The sequence below is a fragment of the Homo sapiens genome, chromosome 10 (genome assembly GCF_000001405.40).
Source record: "Homo sapiens chromosome 10, GRCh38.p14 Primary Assembly".
Lineage (NCBI taxonomy): Eukaryota > Metazoa > Chordata > Mammalia > Primates > Hominidae > Homo > Homo sapiens.
The window spans coordinates 68,226,504-68,248,775 of record NC_000010.11 but is presented as its reverse complement, the minus strand read 5'-3'; the positions used below and the strand labels follow the sequence as shown (position 1 = coordinate 68,248,775).

Genomic DNA, 22,272 nt, shown 5'->3' with positions numbered 1-22,272 from the left:
TCTTTTTCTTTCTTTTTTTCTTTTTTGAGACAGAGTCTCGCTGTGTCACCCAGGCTGAAGTGTAGTGATGGGATCTCGGCTCACTGCAACCTCCACCTCCTGGGTTCAAGGGATTCTCCTGCCTCAGCCTCCCAAGTAGCTGGGACTACAGGCACCCACCACCATGCCCAGCTAATTTTTGTATTTTTAATAGAGACAAGGTTTCACTACGTTGTCCAGGCTGATCTTGAACTCCTGGCCTTGTGATCCACCTACCTCGGCCTCCCAAAATGTTGGGATTACAGGCGTGAACTACCTTGCCTGGCAGATCACCTGAGGTCAGGAGTTTGAGACCAGCCTGACCAACATGAAAAAACCCTGTTTCTACTAAAAATACAAAGTTAGCGGGGCGTGGTGGCACATTCTTGTAATCGCAGCTACTCGGGAGGCTGAGGCAGGAGGTGGAGGTTGCGGTGAGCTGAGATCGCCATTACACTCCAGTCTGGGTAACAAGAGTGAAACTCCGTCTCAAAAAAAAAATATATCATCATAATGTAACATTTTCCTCATAAAGGTCACCTGAGCTGTAAGGCACAAGAGTGTAAGGCTGCACGGGGATGCAGGTGCCAGGTGGTTAGCCAGCTGGATCTGTTCCTTGGCTAAGTGATTTGCATCCATGTCTGGCAATCTGGGATTGAAATTTATGCCTACCCAAAATACCCAAGTGGCTTCCTCGAGAAGAGGTGACACTGGAATGTTAATTCTTCAAATGCCAAAGGTCCACTGTATCAGAAAAAAGGCTTCAGGCTCATCTAAGCTGCTCGAACTTGTACAGCTAAGTACCTTCCTTTTCTTTATGAACCACAATATTGCCTTCAGTGATGAGCTGGAAATTAGTCTTGGCTCTGTTACTCCTACAGTGAGGCAGGCCATGGATTTCCCACAGTTATCACTGGGAATGGCTTCTTCCATAATATCCGTCATTGTAATTCATGTTTGGGCACTGATTCAAAATTGGAAGGCTCTGGCTTTGACTTCTCCAGAAGGCTTCATCAGGATCTGAACATGAGATTGGGTCCATTTATCTGTGACAACTCTGAAGCTGGGCAAAATTCTGACCAAGAGATTGAAATCTTTCTCCTACCTCCCTCAAATAGGGAGACCTTCTATATGATATCATCAAAGGCTGGGTAACTTTGTAGCTGAGCTGAAGCTAGAATTTCTTGTAAAGGCCAATTCATTTCCTTCTCTTCTCTGGCATGGAAATCATCCCCCATGGGTGGCCATGACATAACCCATCCTCACTTCTGCAGGAGTTAGCCTCAGCAGCATTGCTTTAGCTTATGATACATATCACAGGATCTACCAAAACCTCCTCTAAGCTTCCAAGGGTTTTCATGCTTCCGTGTCAGGAATTAGCAGTTACAACCTTCTTATGGCCTCCTCATCTTGAGGGCTCCCGTACCTTACATTTATCTCTCTAAGTCTCCTTTCCTTCCCCCTCCCCGCAACACACATGGTAGGTAACATCAGGACTGGGATCAGTCCAGCAGGGAGCAGCTAGGGGTGTCTCCAGGCAGGTTGTGAAATCAGCAAAGAGTTGGATTAATATCTGGGACCCCAGAGGGAGGTTCTGTGAGGTTCACTGACCTGTAAGCAGGTCACCTCCTTGAGGCCAAGGCACTGATGGTGACCACCAGCACTTGAAGACACACGCTGCTCCTGTTCTGAATTCTGTCCCCATTTCTGAAGCATCACCAAATACAACCTTGAAATGGAAATTTTCTACAGACTGATTTTTTTTTTCAATTTTCAGGAGCCCACATGATGATGATCGACTCATTCGCCCCAATCCCAACACACAATTTTTAAATTTGGTGTAATGGCAGGGCGCAGTGGCTCACGCTTTAATCCTGACATTTTGGGAGGCTGAGGCAGGTGGATCAGCTGAGGTCAGGAGTTTGAGACCAGCGTGGCCAACATGATGAAACCCCGTCTCTACTAAAAATACAAAAATTAGCTGGGCGTGGTGGCGCATCCCTGTAATCCCAGCTACTCAGGAGGCTGAGGCAGGAGAATCGCTTGAACCCAGGAGGCGGAGGTTGCAGTGAGTTGAGATCACGCGACTGCACTCCAGCCTGGGCAACAGAGCGAGACTCCATCTCAATAAATAAATAAATAAATAGATAAATAAATAAATAAATAAATAAATAAATTTGGTGTAATGGAGAATTTCAAACAGAGAGAATAGTACCATATAATGAACCACAATGTGTCCATAAACAGCTCTGACAATTATTAACTAGTAGGCATCTGATTTTGTTCCACCAATACCTTCACCTACTCCCCCCACCCTGAATTATTTTAGAGTAAATCTTACACATTACTGTATATAGTTTCATTTATATTTTAGTATGTACCCCTAACATATAAGGCCTTAAACAGTGTAACCATGATATCTTTATTACATCTAAAATAATAATAATTCTTTTTGTTTGTTTTAGAGACAGGGTCTCGCCGTGTCACCCGGCTTAAGTGCAATAGCATGATCATAGCTCACTGTAAATTTGACCTCTTGCGTTGAAGCAATCCTCCTGCCTCAGCCTCCCAAGTAGCTGGGACTACAGGTGCATGCAACCTAACCTCGCTAATATTTACACTTTTTGTAGAGTCAGGGTCTTGCTATGTTGCCCAGGCTGGTCTTGAACTCCTGGCTTCAAGTGATCCTCCTGCCCCAGCCTCCCAAAATGCTGCTGCGATTACAGGTATGACAGATGTGAACCACAACATGCAGCCTAATAATTCTTCTTTTTTTTTTTTTTAGATAGAGTGTTGCTCTGTCACCCAGGCTGGAGTGCAATGGCATGATCTTGGCTCACGGCAACCTCTGCCTCCCAGGTTCAAACGATTCTCCTGCCTCAACCTCCTGACTAGCTGGGACTACAGATGTGTGCCATCACACTCAGTTAATTTTTGTATTTTTAGTAGAGACAGGGTTTCACTATGTTGGCCAGACAGGTCTCGAACTCCTGACTTCAGGTGATCCTCCTGCCTTGTTCTCCCAAAGTGCTGGGATTATAGGCATGAGCCACTGTGCCCAGCCAATAATTCTTTATTATTACCAGCTATTTAGTCAGAGCTTAAATTTCCCTGATAGCCCCAAAAATATTTTTAGAGTTGGTTTATTTGAATCAGGATCCAAACAAGACTCACACATTGCATTTGGTTGATATGGTTCTAGTCTCTTATTCTAATTCTACACATTTCCCTCCTTTTTTTAAAAAAAAAATGCAGTATATTTGTTGGAGAAACCAATCAATTGTCTTATTCAGTTTCTTAATTCTGGATTTTGCTGATTGCCTCCCCATGGTCTCTCTTAACATAATTCTCTCTCCCCTGAATTTCATGCAAATTAATCATTAGATATGGAGACCTAATAAAATTCAGGTTTAATTTTTTAGTGAGTATACTAGATGCTGTGTTTTTCCATTGTGAGGCACATGATGTCTGATTCTGTTTTTCTTTTTAGTGGGTTAACTGAACAACAGTTAGAAGCATTCACATAGCAGAGGCAGGTTATTCACAGACATGTGTATACCACCAGGCCTTGGGCAATAAATTACGGGGAAGGCCAGAGTTTGAATCTGACCCTGCCACCATTTCCCTTCTCTCTATTGGCACTTCCTTCCTTTCCTGGGTTCCTGTATACACAGCCAAATTCTAGGCTGCCTGCAGACTGGGTTCGGGGCACGATCCCCAAAATATCTGAGAAAACAGCAGAAGCAGGAAGGTCACTCTCACCTTTTCCCTGCCCTTCTCCCCTGAAGCAGGTCAAACGACTGGTGGGCGGACCACCTGAGGTCGGGAGTTCGAGACCAGCCTGGCCAACATGGTGAAACCCCATCTCTACCAAAAATACAAAAAAGTTAGCCAGGCTTGGTGGTGCACACCTGTAGTCCCAGCTACTGGGGAGGCTGAGGTGGGGGAATCACTTGAACCTGCTAGGCGGAAGTTGCAATGAGCCGAGATCGGGCCACTGCACTCCAGCTTGGGCGACAGAGTGAGACTCCATCTCAAAAAAAGAGAGGTGACCCCCTTATACCTGGAGGAAAGGAATATCCTTTTCTTTGAAGACACAAGGAAGAATCTGAACAAACAGACCTTGCTAAGTTCCCCCAGTTTATCACCATTAGGTGATAAATCCCTTTGTGCAATCATACTTCTCCACAACTATCCACTTCTTCATCAAACCTGGCACACAAAACATGCAGGTTTACCTATTTCTTCAGGTTTTCGTTTCCTTATGAAGGCCTCCATGTCAAATAAAATGTATATTAAATGAATTTATATGCTTTTCTCTTGTTAATCAGTCTTTTGGTTTTTTTTGTTGTTGTTGTTTGTTTGTTTTGAGTCTGGGTCTTGCTCTGTTGCCCAGGTTGGAGGGCAGTAATGCAATCGCAGCTCACTGCAGCCTCAAACTCTTGGGCTCAAGCAATCCTCCCATCTCAGCCTCCTGAGTAGCTGGGATCACAGCTTCATACCACCATACCCCGCTAATTTTTAATTTTTTTTTTTTTGTAGGACAGGATCTTGCTGTGTTGCTCAGGCTAGTCTCAAACTCCTGGCTTCAAGTGATCTTCCTGCCTTGGCTTCCCAAAGAACTGGGATTACAGGTGTGAGACACAGTGCCTGGCTGTCTTTTGTTTTAGGGGCCTCAGCCAGGAGCATAGGATGGATGAAGAAAAGTCTTCCTCCCCTCACAGCCAACGGAACTATGAGTGTTTGAGCATCTTCCTTGCCAACCAGTTCTGTCCCTGAATATTCTCCCAGCACATCTACCTTACCCTTGACACTGCTGGAGAATTTGCATGCTTATAAGTCACTTTATAAGAGAAATCTTCAGGGCTCAAAAGAATGACTAGATTGCAGGGAGGAGGAATCTAGTTCTTTAATTTCAAAATAGCAAGTTTAAAAACTTCTGAGTGTAAAGATGTATGGATTTTTAAAAATTATCCACTGAAATGTTTTAAGACAGACTACTCTTTAATTTAAGTTATGGATTTAGCATTTTTCTTTTCTTTTCTTTCTTTCTTCCTTTCTCTTTCTTTCTTTCTTTCTTTCTTTCTTTCTCTTTCTTTCCTTCCTTCCTTCCTTCCTCCCTCCCTCCCTCCCTTCTTTCTTTTCTTTCTTTCTTTCTTTCTTTCTTTCTTTCTTTCTTTCTTTCTTTCTTTCTTTCTTCTTTCTTTCTTCCGTCTTTTTTTTTTTTACAGGGTCTCACTCTGTCACCCAGGCTGGAGTGCAGGGCTGTGATCTTGGCTCACTGCAACCTCCATCTCCTGGGTTCAAGTGGATTCTTGTGCCTCAGCCCCCTGAGTAGCTGGGATTACAGGTGCGCACCACCACGCTTGGCTAATTTTTGTATTTTTAGTAGAGACGAGGGTCTAGCCATGTTGACCTGGCTTGTCTTGGACTCTTGGCCTCAAGTGATCTGCCTGCCTCAGCCTCCCAAAGTGCTGGGATTACAGGTGTGAGCCACTGCACCCAGCTGGATTTAGCATTTTTCAAAATTTTTTTTATGGACATGCTCTTTGGATATTCTCTGAGATGAAGGAGCTCCATGCCATACAAGTTCAGGAAATGCTGCACATTCTGTCTTGAGAAAAACCATAATCATAGTAAACGTTCTAAAAAGTCCTGCAGTTAAAAAAAAAAAAACAATCATTGAGTTGGCTCTCCCTATCCATGGATTTTACATCCATGGATTCAGTCAACTGTGGATCAAAAATATTTGAGAAGGCCGGGTGTGGTGGCTCATGCCTGTAACCCTAGCACTTTAGGAGGCCAAGACAGGTGGATCACCTGAGGTCAGGAGTTCGAGACCAGCCTGGCCAACATGGCGAAACCCCCGTCTCTACTAAAAATACAAAAATTATCTGGGTGTGGTGGCGCATGCCTGTAATCCCACCTACTTGGGAGGCTGAGGAAGGAGAATTGCTTGAACCCGGGAGGTGGAGGTTGCAGTGAGCCAAGATCACACCACTGAACTCCAGCCTGCCCAACAGAAGTTAGACTCCATCTCAAAAAAAAAATTTTTTTTTGAGAAAAAAAATTGTGTCTGTACTCAACATGCACAGACTTTTTTCTTGTCATTATTCCCTAATCAATACGGTACAACAATAATTTCCATAGCATTTACTTTGTGTTAGCTATCACAAGTAATCTGTGGATGATTTAAGGTATATGGGAGGATATGCATAGGTTATATGCAAATACAACATCATTTTATATCAGGGGCTTGAGCATCCATAAATTTTGGTATCCAAAAAAGGTCCTGAAGCCAATCCCCAACAGGAACCAAAGGATGACTGTATAGCTTTGTCTAAGCCAGAATTTTCTTTTCTTTGTTGAAGGGTAGCAGTTTCAGGACAACATTTGGGAAACACACTTTGGAGGACCAACAAAGCTGATCTAGATAAAGTGAGTAATGAGAAAAAGGAGGGATTGGGGTTTGAGTCAGCACTCTGGAATTACTCCGAACCACTTGATTCTGGGGACATGTTGGGGATCCAATCAGTAAGAGGTTCTTTTAATGGGCTTCTGCAGAAAACTTATGTTATAGGAGTGTTTCTTAGCCTGAAGTGGTTAAGTATATAAGCCAACTTTGGCTTCCATCCTAGATGACTTACGTGAGTCATGTATGCCACCAAGGAGCATGGAGACATGGAACCAATGTTACCTGGGACCCAATTCAGTGTTCCTCGGATAGTAGCAAAGCAAGCTTGCTGAGGTGAATCAAGTGACGTAGAGTGACAAATTATATGGCAATTGGGAGTAGCCACTAGGGAATGGGACAAATGTGCTGAAAAGAAAGGTCATGAGTGTCACTTGTCACCTGAGCACTGCAGTCAGCAGGAATGTCATGACTGTCAGTGCCGGGTGCTCAGGTCCACCCCTGGTCCACCGAAGCCTCAAGAACAGGCAGTCCCAGGGAGGTGAACATGCAAACAATGGCAGCCAGGGTTGGAGGAACTGACTCGGGGGTGAAATTGGCATGTGAGCAGGATGGTCAGATGCTCAGTGGCAGAGGGACAAGGCAAACTGAGACTTTATTTTGGCACCAATGTGCAAGGATCTGATTTTATGTGAAGAGATGCAGAGGCTCCAGGTACGGTGCAGTGTGGGAGTAATCCAGTGGTGGGTGCCGGGGCTGGGAAGGTGTGTGTAGGTTAGGCAGGCCCCTAGTCCTCTGCTGAGAGAAGAGCAAGAGTCCAGGTCCTCAGAGGAGAGATCTCATGGTGGACAAGGGACCCCATTACCCAAGCTGATGGGAACTTTGGGAACCTAAGGAGGAGGGCCCATGGGGGAAGGGGTGTTGCAGGAAGGTCCAAAGAAGAAGGTGAGGTTTATGCATCTTCAGGAGCCTCTGGCTCACTCCCAGGTATATCAGACAACACCTAGTGGGAAATGGGGCTCCAAGGAACCCTTGGACTTGGTTCACAGAATGAGGCTCATCTGTGCCTGCAGATTGCTAGATCCTGTGCCTATAGTTTAGCAGAATGGGGGCCAGCTGGGCCTGACACAGTGACTGCTTACACATCCCAGCATATTTAATGAGTGCAACCGGGTCCCAGCTCCTTTTCTAGGAACTGGGTACACCGTGAAGAATAAGGCCGTGTTCCTGCCATCAAAGCTCTCACAGACAAGGGCCAGTGCAGCACAGAGCATGAGCTCTGTGTAGAAAGAGAGCTGGGTTCAAACCTGGCTGCTGTGTTGCTCAGTTTAACTAGGGCCTTGGTTTTCTTGGCCACAAAATGGGATTACAACTGTCCTCACTCAAAGAGGGTTATAAGAATTGGAGTTAACACTGGGTGAGCATTTGGTATTTCCTGAAGGTGCAAATATTGTTATGGTGATGATAACCATTTTTTTTAGCTTAAGGTCAGCCTGAATAAGTAAGAACTTCAGTCAGCCAAGCAGCAAATATGTATTTATTGAACATTCTAGCAAGAACCAGACATTGAAAATTTGTCCCTTCTCTCAAAGAATTTTTAGTCTATTTGGAGAAGCAGGAAATAAACATGTAAGAAGATACCAACATTACCAGTTTTAAATATGCACGAGGGCAGAGATTTTTGCAGTTTGTTCAGCACTATCTCTAGGGCCTACAATCCCTGGTACATTGTAAGTACAATAAGTATTTGTCAAACCTGGCGCAGTGGCTCATGCCTGTAATCCCAACACTTTGGGAGGCCGAGGCAGGTGGATTGCCTGAGCTCAGGAGTTTGAAACCAGCCTGGGCAACATGGTGAAACCCCGTCTGAAAAAATAAAAAATAAAAATATTAGCTAGGCATGGTGGCCACGTGCCTGTTTTCTCAGCTATTCTGGAGGCTGAGGTGGGAGGATCATCTGAGCCCAGGGAAGTTGAGGCTGCAGTGACCCATGATGTGCCACTGCACTCCAGACTGGGTGACAGAGTAAAACCCTGTCTCAAAAAATGAAATAAAATAAAATAAAAATTTGTTGAGTAAATGAACAAATGAAAATCAGTTTGAAACAATGAAACAAGTTGGTATATAGTTACCAAAGGAATAGAAAAGACTATACACTCATATGGCTTCCAGTTTGGGGTTCTACTTAAAGATCGCCTAGGAATCCGATTGGGACAGATGTCTGGCCAGCTAGCCATGGTATCTTTTTGCTTCCCTCTCAGTGGAGGTCAGTAGGAGGCAGGCACACAGCCAGGAAGTAAGAGTCAAAAACAATGGTGAGGAGTGATGGGAATACAACCTCAGAATCAGAAGACCCGGGTGTCTGGACACTTAGAATAACTTGTTTAGCCAAGCTGCTGAAATTGCACAAGGAAACAAAAAAGGCTAAACCAACTAAAATAAACAGAAAACCACTTCCCACGGGGCAGGGAGCCGACATCAGTGTCTGGCCTGGGCAAGTGAAGCCTCTGGGCTTTAACTCTGAGCTGACTCAGGTACCGCCTGAAACCTGGATGTAATGAGAGCCACCCTTTGGGGAAGAAAGCCACCTGCTCACTGTGAAACAGCAAATGCCACCATTTCAGAGCAGAAACAAAGCAGCAGGTCTGTTGCCATTGCTTTTGGAGGACATTATTTCTCTTGAAAGGGGCCATTAGCAAAAGGAAAAAGAGCTGTGTTGCTGGGAGTTGCTGGGGGGCAATGTCTACTCTCCCCCCGTGTGTGGGGTCCCTCCACCCCAAGACAGAAATTAAAAGAAAGATGTAAAACAAATGTCAGTAAAATTTATATTATTTTCCCATACTCTAATTGGTTGTCTTATGCACCTGTTGGGGAGCAAGACCCTGGTTTACTGCTCACGGTAGGTTTTTAATATCTGTTAAATGGATCTTACCTGCAGAATTGGATCGTGAATTCCAATAGGCTAAAGGCCGTCTTATCCCTGATGTTGCCTGGCACAGGGCTGAACAGATAGAAGTAGTAATCCCTGTCCAAGATACAAAGTCTCGTATCCTGGTGGACACATGGACACTGTGCAGATGGTCTCTCTCCACTGGCAGGCAGGGATAGGTCTTGTGGCCTTACTGAGGTCTGGATGAAATATCCCTTGCTCCAGTCAGGGTCCGGTCAGGAAAGCAGAGCCACTCTGAGCATAATGGAAGAAGGAATTTCTTAGAAGGACAAGGTCTTACACAATTGGGAGAGGAGCTAGGGACATAAAGGTCCAAAAAAGAAGTTTCTGGCCGGGCGTGGTGGCTCACTCCTGTAATCCCAGCACTTTAGGAGGCCCCGTTGGGGAAATCATCTGAGGTCAGGAGTTAGAGACCAGCCTGGCCAACATGGTGAAACCCCATCTCTACTAAAAATACAAAAATTAGCCGGGCATGGTGGTTCACGCTTGTAATTCCAGCTACTCAGGAGGCTGAGACAGGAGAGTTGCTTGAACCCGGGAAGTAGAGGTTGCTGTGAGCCGAGATAGCACCACTGCACTGCAGCCTGGGCGACACAGCAAGACTCCGTCTCAAAAAAAAAAAAAAAAAAAAAGTTGTTGAAGGATTGGATGAAAGTCCCTAAGCAGCACTGGCTTGGGTGAATGAATCCGAGCATGCAAGGACTCCGGAAGCCAGGGATGTCCAACTGCTGAAGTAAGGGCAGGGAGGTGGCAGAGAAGCCAGGTGCCCTGTGGCTGTCACCTCCTTGAGTTCACATGAAGCATCTGGTGGCGGGCCTGGGGCTGCTGTTGCTCAGTAGGGCCAACAGTCGAGAGGGTGTGTGCTGTATGTGGAATAAGAGAAGACAAACACAAACTGGGCTCCATTGGCACCTCTGTGTCTGTCTCTCCTGTCCCTCAACCTGCAGTCGTCTCCAGACTTTGGTGACTTTACTTATGCCTCCCATAGCTCATGCAACTGCTCGTTTGCCCAACTCAAATCTGGAGCCACACAGGGAAAGGCATTCTGAGAAATGTAGCTGCCAGCCTAAGTATGCCACAAAAAGCTTAGCACATCCTTAAGACCCATTCCCTTTGTTCTGGTTCTATATGTGTAAAGCAACATCATGATTGTCAGTTTGTCTCCTCAAATACCTCCGTACCAGGAAGGAAGAGGCCTGGATGGTAAATGCAAATATTTCAGTCACTGGACAAGTAGAGCATCCCCTGAAAATGAACACTTTTAACTATGTGTCTGCAACTGTAAAACTGAACCTCAAACTCTAATGAAATCACTAAACTTACTACCAACTAAGGCTTTCCCTGAGCAGCCTTTTGGCTTCTGTCACTGACTTTTTTTTTTTTTTGAGACGGAATTTCACTCTGTCACCCAGGCTAGAGTACAGTGGCACGATCTCGGCTCACTGCAACCTCTGCTTCCCGGGTTCATGCGATTCTCCTGCCTCAGCCTCCCAAGTAGTGGGGACTACAGGCGTGTACCACCATGCCCCGCTAATTTTTGTAGTTTTTTTGTAGAAACGGGGTTTCGCCATGTTGGCCAGGCTGGTCTCGAACTCCTGACCTCAGATGATCTACCTGCGTCAGCCTCCCAAAGTGCTGGGATCACGGCCGTGAGCCACCGCGCCTGGCCAGTCTCTGACATTTCAAACAAGATTGCTCCAATATCAAAGGCAAAATGAACCTATTTGAATTTTCCCTTCTCTCCCTGTCCCTGTTCACCCTAAGGTACCAGCACTCAAGAGCAGAAAATTGAAGCAAAAATAAGCAGGAGTGGGTGACTATTCTACACCCTGGAAAACTGCAACAGGTTATTTTGTTTATTTAAGCAAGCAGCTATATTACATTTAATTGTATGCCAGGCATAGATCTAAGTGCTTTACAAAGAGAAACTAATTTAATCCTATTGTATGAGATTGATTATACTATTACTATTCCTCTCTTACATATAACATGAGAGGCACAGAGAAGTTAAGTAAGTTGGCCAAGATCACACAGCTGAGATTCATATCATGACTTTATAGTTCGATGTATAAAAGGTTCAAAAATTATTCATTTAATTCAGAATCTTCAGAAACTGATGACAAGCTCATTTTTATTACGATTTATAAAAAAAATTCATAATATGTAATCCTCGCTGTCATTTAAAGGGTGACTTTCATAGGGACCAGGCAGGGTCTTTTGCAGGCCCAGTCTTATTTAATGCAATCTCCCCTATGAGGTAGGTATTATGATTCCTACCTTGCAGGTGGAGAAACAGGAGAAGTGACTTGCACAAGAGCACATAACTCAGCTAGTTGATGGGGGGTCCAGGATTCAAAATGGACTCCAAAGATGGTGTTATGTTTAGCCACAATGCCAACAGGACTCTAAGATCCACTAGCAAGAAGAGTGAAGGCAGAGTGCAAACTGTGCAAGTCGGTCTGGCTCATGGCAACTAGAGTCTAAATCAAAGTGCCTAGCCAGAATTCTCCAGCAGTGTGCCAAGTGACTGGAAGCTGGAGAACCTCCTGGGGTCCTTTGGTGAGCTTGGATTTTTCTGGTGAGTGATTACTGCCGAGGCCTGGGACAAGGCCCCCCATTGTTGTCATCTTTCTCTTGACCTCATGATTAGTCCCTGTCCCTTCTTAATTTCTGTCCTTCACTGGCTTTTCTCTTCCCTGGACCTTTGAGTGGCAGGGAGTAGAGGTACAAGATTTGGCTTCAATCCTTCAATCTTTTTGTGGGTTTTTCTCCTCCTGGTAACTACGCAGCACATTATAAAGTTACAGGAACTCGGCTGGGCGCAGTGGCTCACGCCTGTAATCCCAGAACTTTGGGAGGCCGAGGCAGGCAGATCACTGAGGTCAAGAGTTTGAGACTAGCCTGGCCAACATGGTGAAACCCCATCTCTACTAAAAATACAAAAATTAGCCGGGTGTGGTGGTGCACCCCTGTAACCCCAGCTACTCAGGAGGCTGAGGCAGGAGAACTGCTCAAACCCAGGAGGTAGAGATTGCAATGAGCTGAGATCATACCACTGCACTCCAGCCCAGAAGACAGAGTCAGATTCCGCCTTTAAATAAATAAATAAATAAATAAAGCTACAGGAACTGTTAACACACTGCACTTTTGGTTTTCAATAAAATAGGAGTGGACCTCAGCTTCATTGTTCCTTTGTCCTTTGCTGACTTTCCTCTTAGTCTTTAGGGGACCCAGAGTCTCCTGACTGCTACACTCTCAATAATGAAGGCTCAGTCTTCAATTTCCATAGTTTTCTCTGCAAATTTCAGAATGAATATTTTTTTCCAAGTGTTTTCCTTTCTCTCTTTTAATTTTGTGTGTTTGTGTGTGTGTGTGTGTGTGTGTGTTTGAGAGCTTTCATCTTAAAAATTAAACACAGTTTTGGATAATAAAGGAATGTTTACCCTTAAACCTATTCTACACATTTTATGTAATAATTTCTAGCCATGGATCTTTTACCTTTAAAATAATATTTTCTATTTTTCTATTCCTTCTGCATGTGCAAACTCCTTCTTCCCTGGGTCCACCCCCAATTCCTGCCATCTCCTTATCTCCATCTGCCAGTTTTGATTTCTGGCCAACCACCAGATGTATGGTAACCACCAATTCAACTAGTAAGATCATACATTCAGTATGGAAACACTGTGGAAATTAGTCTGACATACATGTTCTTCTGGCCCAAAAGGCTATGGATTTTTTTTTTTTTTTTTTTTTTGAGACAGGGTCTTGCTCTGTCACCCAGGCTGGAGTCAGTGGTGCAATCATAGCTCACTGCAGCCTTGACCTCCTATACTCAAGCTATCCTCCCTTACTTAGCCTCTCAAGTAACTGGTACTACAGGCATTCTCCATTACTCCCAGCTAATTAATTTTATTTCTGTAGAGACAGGGTCTTACTATGCTGCATAGGCTGGTCTGAAATTCCTGTGCTGAAATGATGGTGTGAGCCACTGCACCCAGCCTGTTTTTTAAGAAGTCATTCTGCATTCAAAATGTGCAGCTAGCTCCCGTTCCCTACAGGTGAGGGAACATGAATCATTGTCTGGGTTATTCACTAGGAATGTGTTCATTCTGGCCCGCATCTATCATTTACCTAGTTTATTGTTCCAGTCACTCATTCCAGGTTATTTACTGACTACTTATTATTTTCTAGTGTCTAGTGTGCTAGACACTAGGGTTATAAAATAACTGATGCTGTCCTTTATGCACAAAATTGCTAATTCTATTCCTGAAAATTTTATTAGTGACTTGTCTGACTGGGAAGTGACTGGTAGATATCAGTTGGCCCATTGCAAAATGAGGGGCTTGTATTAACTGATCTTCTAATTTTAAAGCCTCTAAAATGAAGGGATGCAGGAGATTTGACTTCTTGCCTTAATCTAATCATTAAATTGCTCAGTGCCTTTTAGTACAATGTTCAGTCTCTAGATCTCAGTCTCCTTCTCCTCTGTAAAATAAATGAAGGCTGAGCGCGGTGGCTCACGCCTGTAATTCCAGCACTTTGGGAGGCTGAGGCGGGTGGATCACCTGAGGACAAGAGTTCGAGACCAGCCTGGCCAACATGGTGAAACCCCGTGTCTACTAAAAATGCAAAATTAGCCGGTGTGGTGGCACATGCCTGTAATCCCAGCTATTTGGGAGGCTGAGGCAGGAGAATCACTTGAATTTGGCAGGTGGAGGTTGCAGTGAGCTGAGATTGCACCACTGCACTCCAGCGTGGGCAAAAAGAGTGAAACTTTGTCTCAAAAAATAAACAAACAAATAAATAAAATAAATGAAATGAAATGTACTAGAGCAGGTTAGAAAAAGTGTCCAAGGAACTTTGTTTGTTTTGAGACAGGGTCATACTTTGTTGCCCAGGCTGGAGTGTAGTGGTGATCACTGCTCACTGCAGCCTCCACCTCCCAGGCTCAAGCAAACCTCCCATTTCAGCCTCTCAAGTAGCTGGGACTACAGGTGCATGCCACCACACCCAACTAATATTTTTAAAACATTTTTCATAGAGATAGGATCTCACTATATTGCCTAGGCTGGTCTCAAGCAATCCTCCCGCCTCGGCCTCCCAAAGTGCTAGGATTATAGGCATAAGCCACTGCACCCAGCCAAGGAACTTTGTCAATAGATCTTTCTAGGATAAGAGGGTTCTGTGTTCAAGGAGATCTCAGAAATGCTGGAGTCAATAGGTTTCTTTACTCCAGGATTTCTCAGAAACTTTACTGTGCCAATTTTGCTTCATGACTCTCCAAGTGGAAGACAGCAGATACTGTTTCCCAAATTTATTTGACAATGGAACCCTTTCCCCCAGAAGCATCTTTGTCATTCTAATAATGTCTTTCAGAATACATTTGGGAAATGTGTTATACATGCCCTCTAAGACCCTTTACTGCAGCAATTCTCTCTATCCTTGGATCAACTTCATATCATAGGTATCTGCTAGTTTATGTTCTAATATAACTGTTGTGTGCACAGTAGTATTTCCTGTTTCTCTTCAAGTTATGCTTTCATTGCCTTTGGACTTGGGCTACAGTCTCATCAATCCTGGGTACATGGCCTGCAAAATCATACATCTCATTAGCACTTTGGACAATAACATCCAGAACAAATGTACAGTCCATTTTGCAGAGAAACATTCCACAGAGCAGCACAGAGGGAGCTCTTTGGAGGAAAGAGATGAAGCAAATGAATATGAAGAACAACGGCATTAATAGGGCAGATTTCCACAGAAACACAGAAAAATATATTTGACATTTTGATGACTATATAACATAGTCTTTTCTGTCACAGGACTGCTGTTCCCAACCAAGACTGTTATGACCCAAAGTAACAGAGCTGAGTGGCTCCATGCAGAAGTCTGTGTTCAACATCTGTCATGCTGGAGATCATTAATGTTCAATTGCTTCCTATTGTCTTCATGTCATTCAACTTCATTTCATTGTCATTGCTTCAGCTGGGGGATTAATCAACTATTTATGAGAAGACAGGACTTGGAGTCAGGGCGGTCACAATGGGGTTATAGTCTGAGCAATGGTGGGGAAAGCAAGTCACGGTTAAAAGACTACTAGTTTGTGACAGTTTGTTGACATTTTAATAAACATATTTGAGAATAATGCTGACATATCCATATTTCAAAAGGAGAAAGAGCATACTTGGTCTTCCTAAAAAATCCAGTAAGGATTCTGGATTGAACCTATTTGGAGGTAGTTTTCTTGCTCCTTGATTCCTCTTAAGAGTGAGAAATGAGCAGAGATGAGAGAATCAAATTAATGGTTTTTCTGCATCAATTAGATCGTCATTATCAATAGCAGAAATCATGCTTTGTTATTATTCCTGCGGGCAGTTGACACAACTGAAATGTTCAAAGATGTAAACTATTTTCAAAAATTGTGCTTTGGGAACTATTTTTTAAAACCTCAGAAGTTACTTAGATGTTCTCATTTTGCACAAAAATGTGCATTATGATTAGTTTTCTTTGATTTAAATGTTAAATGATTAAATGATTAGTTATCATCTCAGTGCATTTCCCACAAATATTTATGAACCTGTGTCAGGGGGAATGAAGTATAAATACTGAATTGATTTGCCTAAGTATCTGAATTCAAGCAACCCAATTATATAATTAGAATAATATAAAGTTTTATATACACGTTAATATCTTTTGATATGTTATAATACATTATTTCATAGAAAACAGCCAAATTATTTGCACAGTAAAATTCCAGGTCTGCAATAATATTGGAACCTGCTAATTTGTTCCAACTTACTTAATAACTAAAATTAAAATGTCAGTATATTAGATTAGCGTTATGCAAAATTGTCACACTTCTCAACAAAGCTACATCCTCTTATACTACAGTCCCGATGTATCTCATAATGCCGAAACCAACATTTTCACACAGATGATGTCTAATAATTTACAAGTCTCGGTTAAGTTTTTGATACGTAAGCTGCCCACTGATACGGGAAAAGATAGACCAAGCTCTGCCCCAACCCCCACCTTGTTATTCTTTTGGGGACAGCCAGGCCACTCCAGATGGTGTGTTAGTTAGTGTTGGACATAGCTTTGGAGAAACTTCAACAGACTAATGCTGTAATGTCAGGATTTTGCTGTGCGTCGCCCCCTCCTCCCCGCAGTTCCCAGGGTAGGAAGGTGCTGAGATAGAAGCCGAGGGACGCCCGCCCACCTGCCACCACCTGTTCCCTCCTTCAGCTCTTTGCTATAAATTCTCCTCCCTCCAAGATTCATTCTGCACTCTCCGACAGCTACTGCGCTAAAAGCGCTCCTTCCCTGAGCTTCGGGAAAGAGTTCATCTTCCTGCAAAGGAGTCTCAGGCTTTCCCAGAGGACTTGAAAGGCCTTCCTCGAACCAGCCACACCAAACTCTGCTGCAGAAGGTTTCCTTCTCTTTTTCAACTTCATGTTGAGAAAATGACTTTCTCTTGAGCATCTCATTTTCCCCTAAATTTGGGCAAGTGAAGAGATATCAGCCTGGTCATCCAGTAGAACAGAAGGCCGAGTCCCGCACTCCCCCACTGTAAACTATTTGATTGCACGTGAGTTGCTTTGTTTATGACTTATTTGCTCAGAAGAGGCACGTTGGGAAGCGGCTCGAGAGACCAGCCCACGCGCAGGTCCTGAGCGGGCGGGCGTGCGAGGTCGGCGCCTCGCTGCTTGGGGCCGGGGATGAAGTCCTGCAAGCCCAGCGGCCCGCCGGCGGGAGCGCGCGTTGCACCCCCGTGCGCGGGCGGCACCGAGTGCGCGGGCACGTGCGCCGGGGCCGGGCGGCTGGAGAGCGCGGCGCGCAGGCGCCTGGCGGCCAACGCGCGCGAGCGCCGCCGCATGCAGGGGCTCAACACTGCCTTCGACCGCTTACGCAGGGTGGTTCCCCAGTGGGGCCAGGATAAAAAGCTGTCCAAGTACGAGACCCTGCAGATGGCCCTGAGCTACATCATGGCTCTGACCCGGATCCTGGCCGAGGCCGAGCGATTCGGCTCGGAGCGGGACTGGGTGGGTCTCCACTGTGAGCACTTCGGCCGCGACCACTACCTCCCGTTCCCGGGCGCGAAGCTGCCGGGCGAGAGCGAGCTGTACAGCCAGAGACTCTTCGGCTTCCAGCCCGAGCCCTTCCAGATGGCCACCTAGGGCGCGCGCCTCCGCGGGGGTGGGTGTCCGGCAGCCGCTCCGAGCCTCGGCCCTGCCCCAAGTAGCCCAGAAGCCTCCGGCGGCCCAGGATTCTAAGGATGCAATCCTCGAGGAAAATTAGTCGATTCTCAGATTACCTTTATTCGCATCATCAGACCTATGGACGCAATCATTTAATTGCCTTTCTTTTCCCCTCCTCCTTTGTATTTTGTAGATTTCATTAATGGATCTTGTGAATGGGTTGATTGCTGTGAAAATAATGCCCCCTTTCCCCTTTTCTGGGCTACTTTGAGGGAAAACAATCTTAAGAAAAATAGGATTAAGCTATTCTGTTCCAGTCCTCAGAGAAATAATCACTTTCTTAAACTTTGTGAGTTTGTCCTGTTCGGGTGAAGTTACAGTATCCATTACTTGTGTTTGCTCACAACAGAGCTACCTTCCTGTTGTGTAAATGCGTTTTTGCTTTAGTGCATTGTGTGTGCAAGCATGAAGTAGAAACACTTTTTTTTTCTGGGTACAGTACATGGGTATCGGTGCTCTGTATTTTTTTAAACTGTGTACACATTATTAAAATATACATTTTATAAAATATAAATAAAAACGTGGATTTGTTTTTCATGCCAAGTACCTTGCCAGTTTCCTGATGGCGCTAAAGAACTCTTTGGAGGTGATGATATAGAATGCTTCCCTGAGCAAAGATGTGGAGTGTTTAAACCTAATCCGACCAATAAACGAATGTGCCGCTTTGTAGTAGTTCCTCAAAAAGCTGATGAGAGTACATGTAATTAATTTAAACATTTTCTCTGTCAACTTGTATATTTTTTGTTGATTTTTAAAAAGATTAAAGTGAAATATTTAGCTTTTAAGTAACTAGATACACAGTTCCTCAATATTTTATTATCCACATTAAGCAGATTGCTACTAAGTCCTTACAAGTACCCAAATATATGTAGTTATTCTTATATGTATACAGTAATGTATATATACACATATACAGGAATACACTTCTATATTTCTAAAACTAACACAGAAATTAAAAATATTGCCTTTGGAAGTGATTTCCTTTTAATCAGTACAAGTTGGACAATAAGGGCTTCACTACCATCAAGACCAATCAAAATGGGAGCAAAATAATAAACATGGTATTGGTTTGAATTACTTTCATTAATTTGCTTAACCATTGCGTGGATAAACCAAGCCCTTCATGTAAAGAGTGACTTGGTGAAGAGTGGTGCATGCATTTGGGAGAATGTCTTACTCATAATTAGGAAAAGCAGGACTCTAAGTTATCCATGCATTTGGAATTTGTCTTGTCACAAGTCAACAAAAACACCAATGACTCCCAAAACTCTTTTATTTTGGATTCCCAAGCCTAACCTCAGACACAGCTGCCTCTTCACAGTTTATCTACAGACTTTATTACAATTTTTATTTTCTTAGTTATCCCTATCAAAATCCGTTTGGTGTGTAATGAGGGAAAGTGTCTTCCCCAGCCCATACATACATTTACACTTAAAAAAATCACAGGTGGGCCAGGCGCAGTGGCTCATGCCTGTAATCCCAGTACTTTGGGAGGCCGAGGCAGGTGGATCACCTGAGGTTAGAAGTTTGAGAACAGCCTGACCAACATGATGAAACCCTATCTCTACTAAAAATACGAAATTAGCCAGGCGTGGTGGCATATGCCTGTAATCCCAGCTACTTGGGAAGCTGAGGCAGGAGAATCGCTTGAACCCGGGAAGTGGAGGTTGCAGTGAGCCGAGATTGTGCCATTGCACTCCAGCTTGGGCAATAAGAGCAAAACTCCGTCTCAAAAAAAAAAAAAAAAAAATCACAAGTGTATTTTCAGAAACCCCTTGGGAGTTTGAAGCTGCATTTCCCTTTCCAGGTGATATCCATTAATGAGAAACAGGAGAGCTCAGAACTTTGCTTCCTGCAAATTTGATAGTAAACTGAAAATTTAGAAACTGCAAATTCAATAGTAAAATGTTTAACCTCTTGACTCCAACAACTCTTAAAAGACGCTATGTGATCTAGCAGACAAACAACACAATTCTAGAAGTCATGATGCCAGGACCCCTTTCTAGTCACAACTCCACTCTGCAGTGTGCACTTGGGTCAATGGCAAGATTCAAGGCATTTGCCTTACTTGCTATTTGGGCACAATAGTCTACTTACTCAGATCTCCTGAGAAGCTTCATTAATAACTCCAGGAAGTGTGCAGAGTTCGAGAATGAGCAAAATCGGTGCTTTTGTTTATCAGAGAATGTCTCAAAAATATATTAAGATCATTAGTCATTTTTCAGGTAGGATGTCACATCTCCCTCTCTGAACTGTAAATACCTTGTGAAAGAGTAGTGTGCTTTTCATTGTATCTCTATGGCTTCTAGTATAGGGCTTTGCACAGAAAAAGTTATTTTTTCAACAGATATTTCATTTTTGGCTACCAATTTAACAACACTTTCTTAATGAAATAAGACAATTTAATTAAAATGATGGGATTCTAATCTCATACTTCTTCCCTGACGTCGCTCCTCCAAAAGAATGGGAGTCTGTCTTTTAAATACTAAGCCTTTAGCTTTCTGCTTCTGGGTTTTGAAGATTTCTGGAAGCAACTTAGCTTTTACCAAATTTCTAAACTTTCCACCCCACTCAATGTACTATTTTTTTTTTTCCTGGAAGACATATGAGGGAAAAGTAAATAAGTCTCAGTGATCAAATCCAATCTTTGATGAAACTCTTCAAACTGTATGTTGAGAGATCCATTGTGGTTTATTAAGTAGGAGCTCAGCTAAAACCAAGTATAAAATCTTTTTGCAGTCAAGATTCATATATCATGATATGTAATAGAATTTCGATTACCAAGCAACCTAAAACTTGCTATAGTATTTTATACTGTTCATCTTGGAAATTCATTTTCTTTTTAGTTTGACAAGACATTAAAATTAAAAAATATTTTTGTATCTGTGCTCCTTTTTTTCAACAAATCAACAAATATTATCAAGTACCGACACACACCCAGTCTTATGTGACACCATTCTTGTCCTTGGCTAGACAACCAAAAGAGAACACACACACATTAATCATTAAGTAGTCCTAAACAGAGTTTAGCCAAATCCTTCAATAGTGTTGTACCAGGGATATGTGCTGTAAGAGCTCCTAATAGAGGGGCATTAAATAATAAAGGAAGATCTCCTCTGGAAGTTTGACTAGCTATTATTATATGTGGGCTCTCCCTGGGTGCAAGCTAGAGATTGAGCTCCCAAACCCCAAGGTCAGAACTCTTGAAGAAACACATACAAATAAACAGGACTATCAAGATGGGAAAGGTAACTGGGCACCGTTGCTCATCCCTGCAATCCCAGCACTTTGGGAGCCTGAGGCAAGAGGATAACTTGAGGCCAGGAATTCAAGACCAGCCTGGGCAGCAAAGTGAGACTCCATCTGTACAAAAAATTTACAAATTAGCCAGGTGTGGTGGTGTGCATCTGCAGTCCCAACTACTCTGGAGGCTGAGTTGGGGGAGGATTGCTTGAGTCCAGGAGTTTGAGGTTGCAGTGAGCTATGATTGTGCCTCAGCACTCCAGCCTGGGTGACAGAGTGAGATCCTGTCTCAAAAACAAAAAGAAAAACAAAAAAAGATGGGACAAGCCACCATTAGTCTCATTACCAAAAACTGGTTATACTGACTTCCTATTTATTTATTTATTTATTTATTTATTCATTTTTGAGACGGAGTCTTGCTCTGTCGCCCAGGCTGGAGTGCAGTGGCGCGATCTCGGCTCACTGCAAGCTCTGCCTCCCGGGTTCACGCCATTCTCCTGCCTCAGCCTCCCGAGTAGCTGGGACTACAGGCGCCCGCCACGATGCCCGGCTAATTTTTTGTATTTTTAGTAGAGATGGAGTTTCACCGTGTTAGCCAGGATGGTCTCGATCTTCTGACCTCGTGATCCACCGGCCTCAGCCTCCCAAAGTGCTGGGATTACAGGTGTGAGCCACTGCGCCTGGCCGACTTTCTATTCTTTCTATTTGCAGATCATAAGGAAGACGAGGCTAAACATCCAATATAGCCAGTTTCTTAGTTAATGAGTTGATATTTATACTAATGAAGATCTAAAATTTCTGCTAGATATGGCACAGATGAGGGTGTATTTAGATTGTGGTTAGTGGAGCTGCAGGATTCAACAATTAAGGCTCAATTCACTTAAATTTCGCCATATTGCAGTAAAAGCAAAGTGCTATTTTGGTACTGAATTTGGCTAGCATCTGCTCTCTGTCTAGACATCACTGAAGATATCTCTTTTCTATACCTATGTGTGAAACACATTTCTTTCTTTCTTTTTTTTTTTTTTAAGATGGAGTCTCGCTCTGTCCCCCAGGCTGGAGTGCAGTGGCCCGATCTCGGCTCACTGCAAGCTCCGCCTCCTGGGTTCACGCCATTCTCCTGCATCAGCCTCCCGAGTAGCTGGGACTACAGGCACCCGCCACCACGCCTGGCTACTTTTTTGTATTTTTAGAAGAGGCAGGGTTTCACCGTGTTAGCCAGGAGGGTCTCAATCTCATGACCTCGTGATCTGCCCGTTTTGGCATCCCAAAGTGCTGAGATTACAGGCATGAGCCACCGCGCCCAGCCAGAAATTTCAAAGTACACATAAGACAATAAATATATGATCTATTGTCTCATATGTACACCTTTTCCCTTCTCTGGTTATAAA

At 43.8% G+C, this 22,272-nt stretch overlaps 1 protein-coding gene and 1 long non-coding RNA gene across 2 annotated transcripts, besides 3 other annotated features; both read left to right on the top strand.

Annotated features, from left to right (window-relative positions):
- The first annotated feature begins 4,616 nt into the window (after positions 1 to 4,616).
- On the top strand, positions 4,617 to 12,257 carry LINC02640 (long intergenic non-protein coding RNA 2640). The gene is made up of 3 exons (XR_001747481.1): positions 4,617 to 4,652; positions 6,390 to 6,456; positions 11,145 to 12,257. It is a non-coding gene; the product is annotated as a long intergenic non-protein coding RNA 2640 (long non-coding RNA).
- Positions 7,204 to 7,373: an enhancer, noted in NCBI's record as "experimental_16219 CRE fragment used in MPRA reporter constructs". NCBI's record gives its function as "activates a minimal promoter by MPRAs in K562 erythroleukemia cells, with activity observed for the introgressed 10:70001245 or rs12573244 variant allele {active_cell/tissue: K562}" and the evidence as "EXISTENCE:reporter gene assay evidence [ECO:0000049][PMID:34662402]".
- Position 7,288: a transcriptional cis regulatory region, noted in NCBI's record as "Neanderthal adaptively introgressed variant 10:70001245 (GRCh37/hg19 assembly coordinates) or rs12573244 in the experimental_16219 CRE". NCBI's record gives its function as "modulates activity of the experimental_16219 enhancer by MPRAs in K562 erythroleukemia cells {active_cell/tissue: K562}" and the evidence as "EXISTENCE:reporter gene assay evidence [ECO:0000049][PMID:34662402]".
- On the top strand, positions 16,663 to 18,181 carry ATOH7 (atonal bHLH transcription factor 7). Its single transcript, NM_145178.4, has one exon. The coding sequence runs from the start codon at positions 17,099 to 17,101 to the stop codon at positions 17,555 to 17,557; it is 459 nt and encodes a 152-aa protein (NP_660161.1). The 5' UTR covers positions 16,663 to 17,098; the 3' UTR covers positions 17,558 to 18,181.
- Positions 17,109 to 17,188: a silencer, noted in NCBI's record as "silent region_2418". NCBI's record gives its function as "represses an Ori minimal core promoter by ATAC-STARR-seq in GM12878 lymphoblastoid cells {active_cell/tissue: GM12878}" and the evidence as "EXISTENCE:reporter gene assay evidence [ECO:0000049][PMID:35858748]".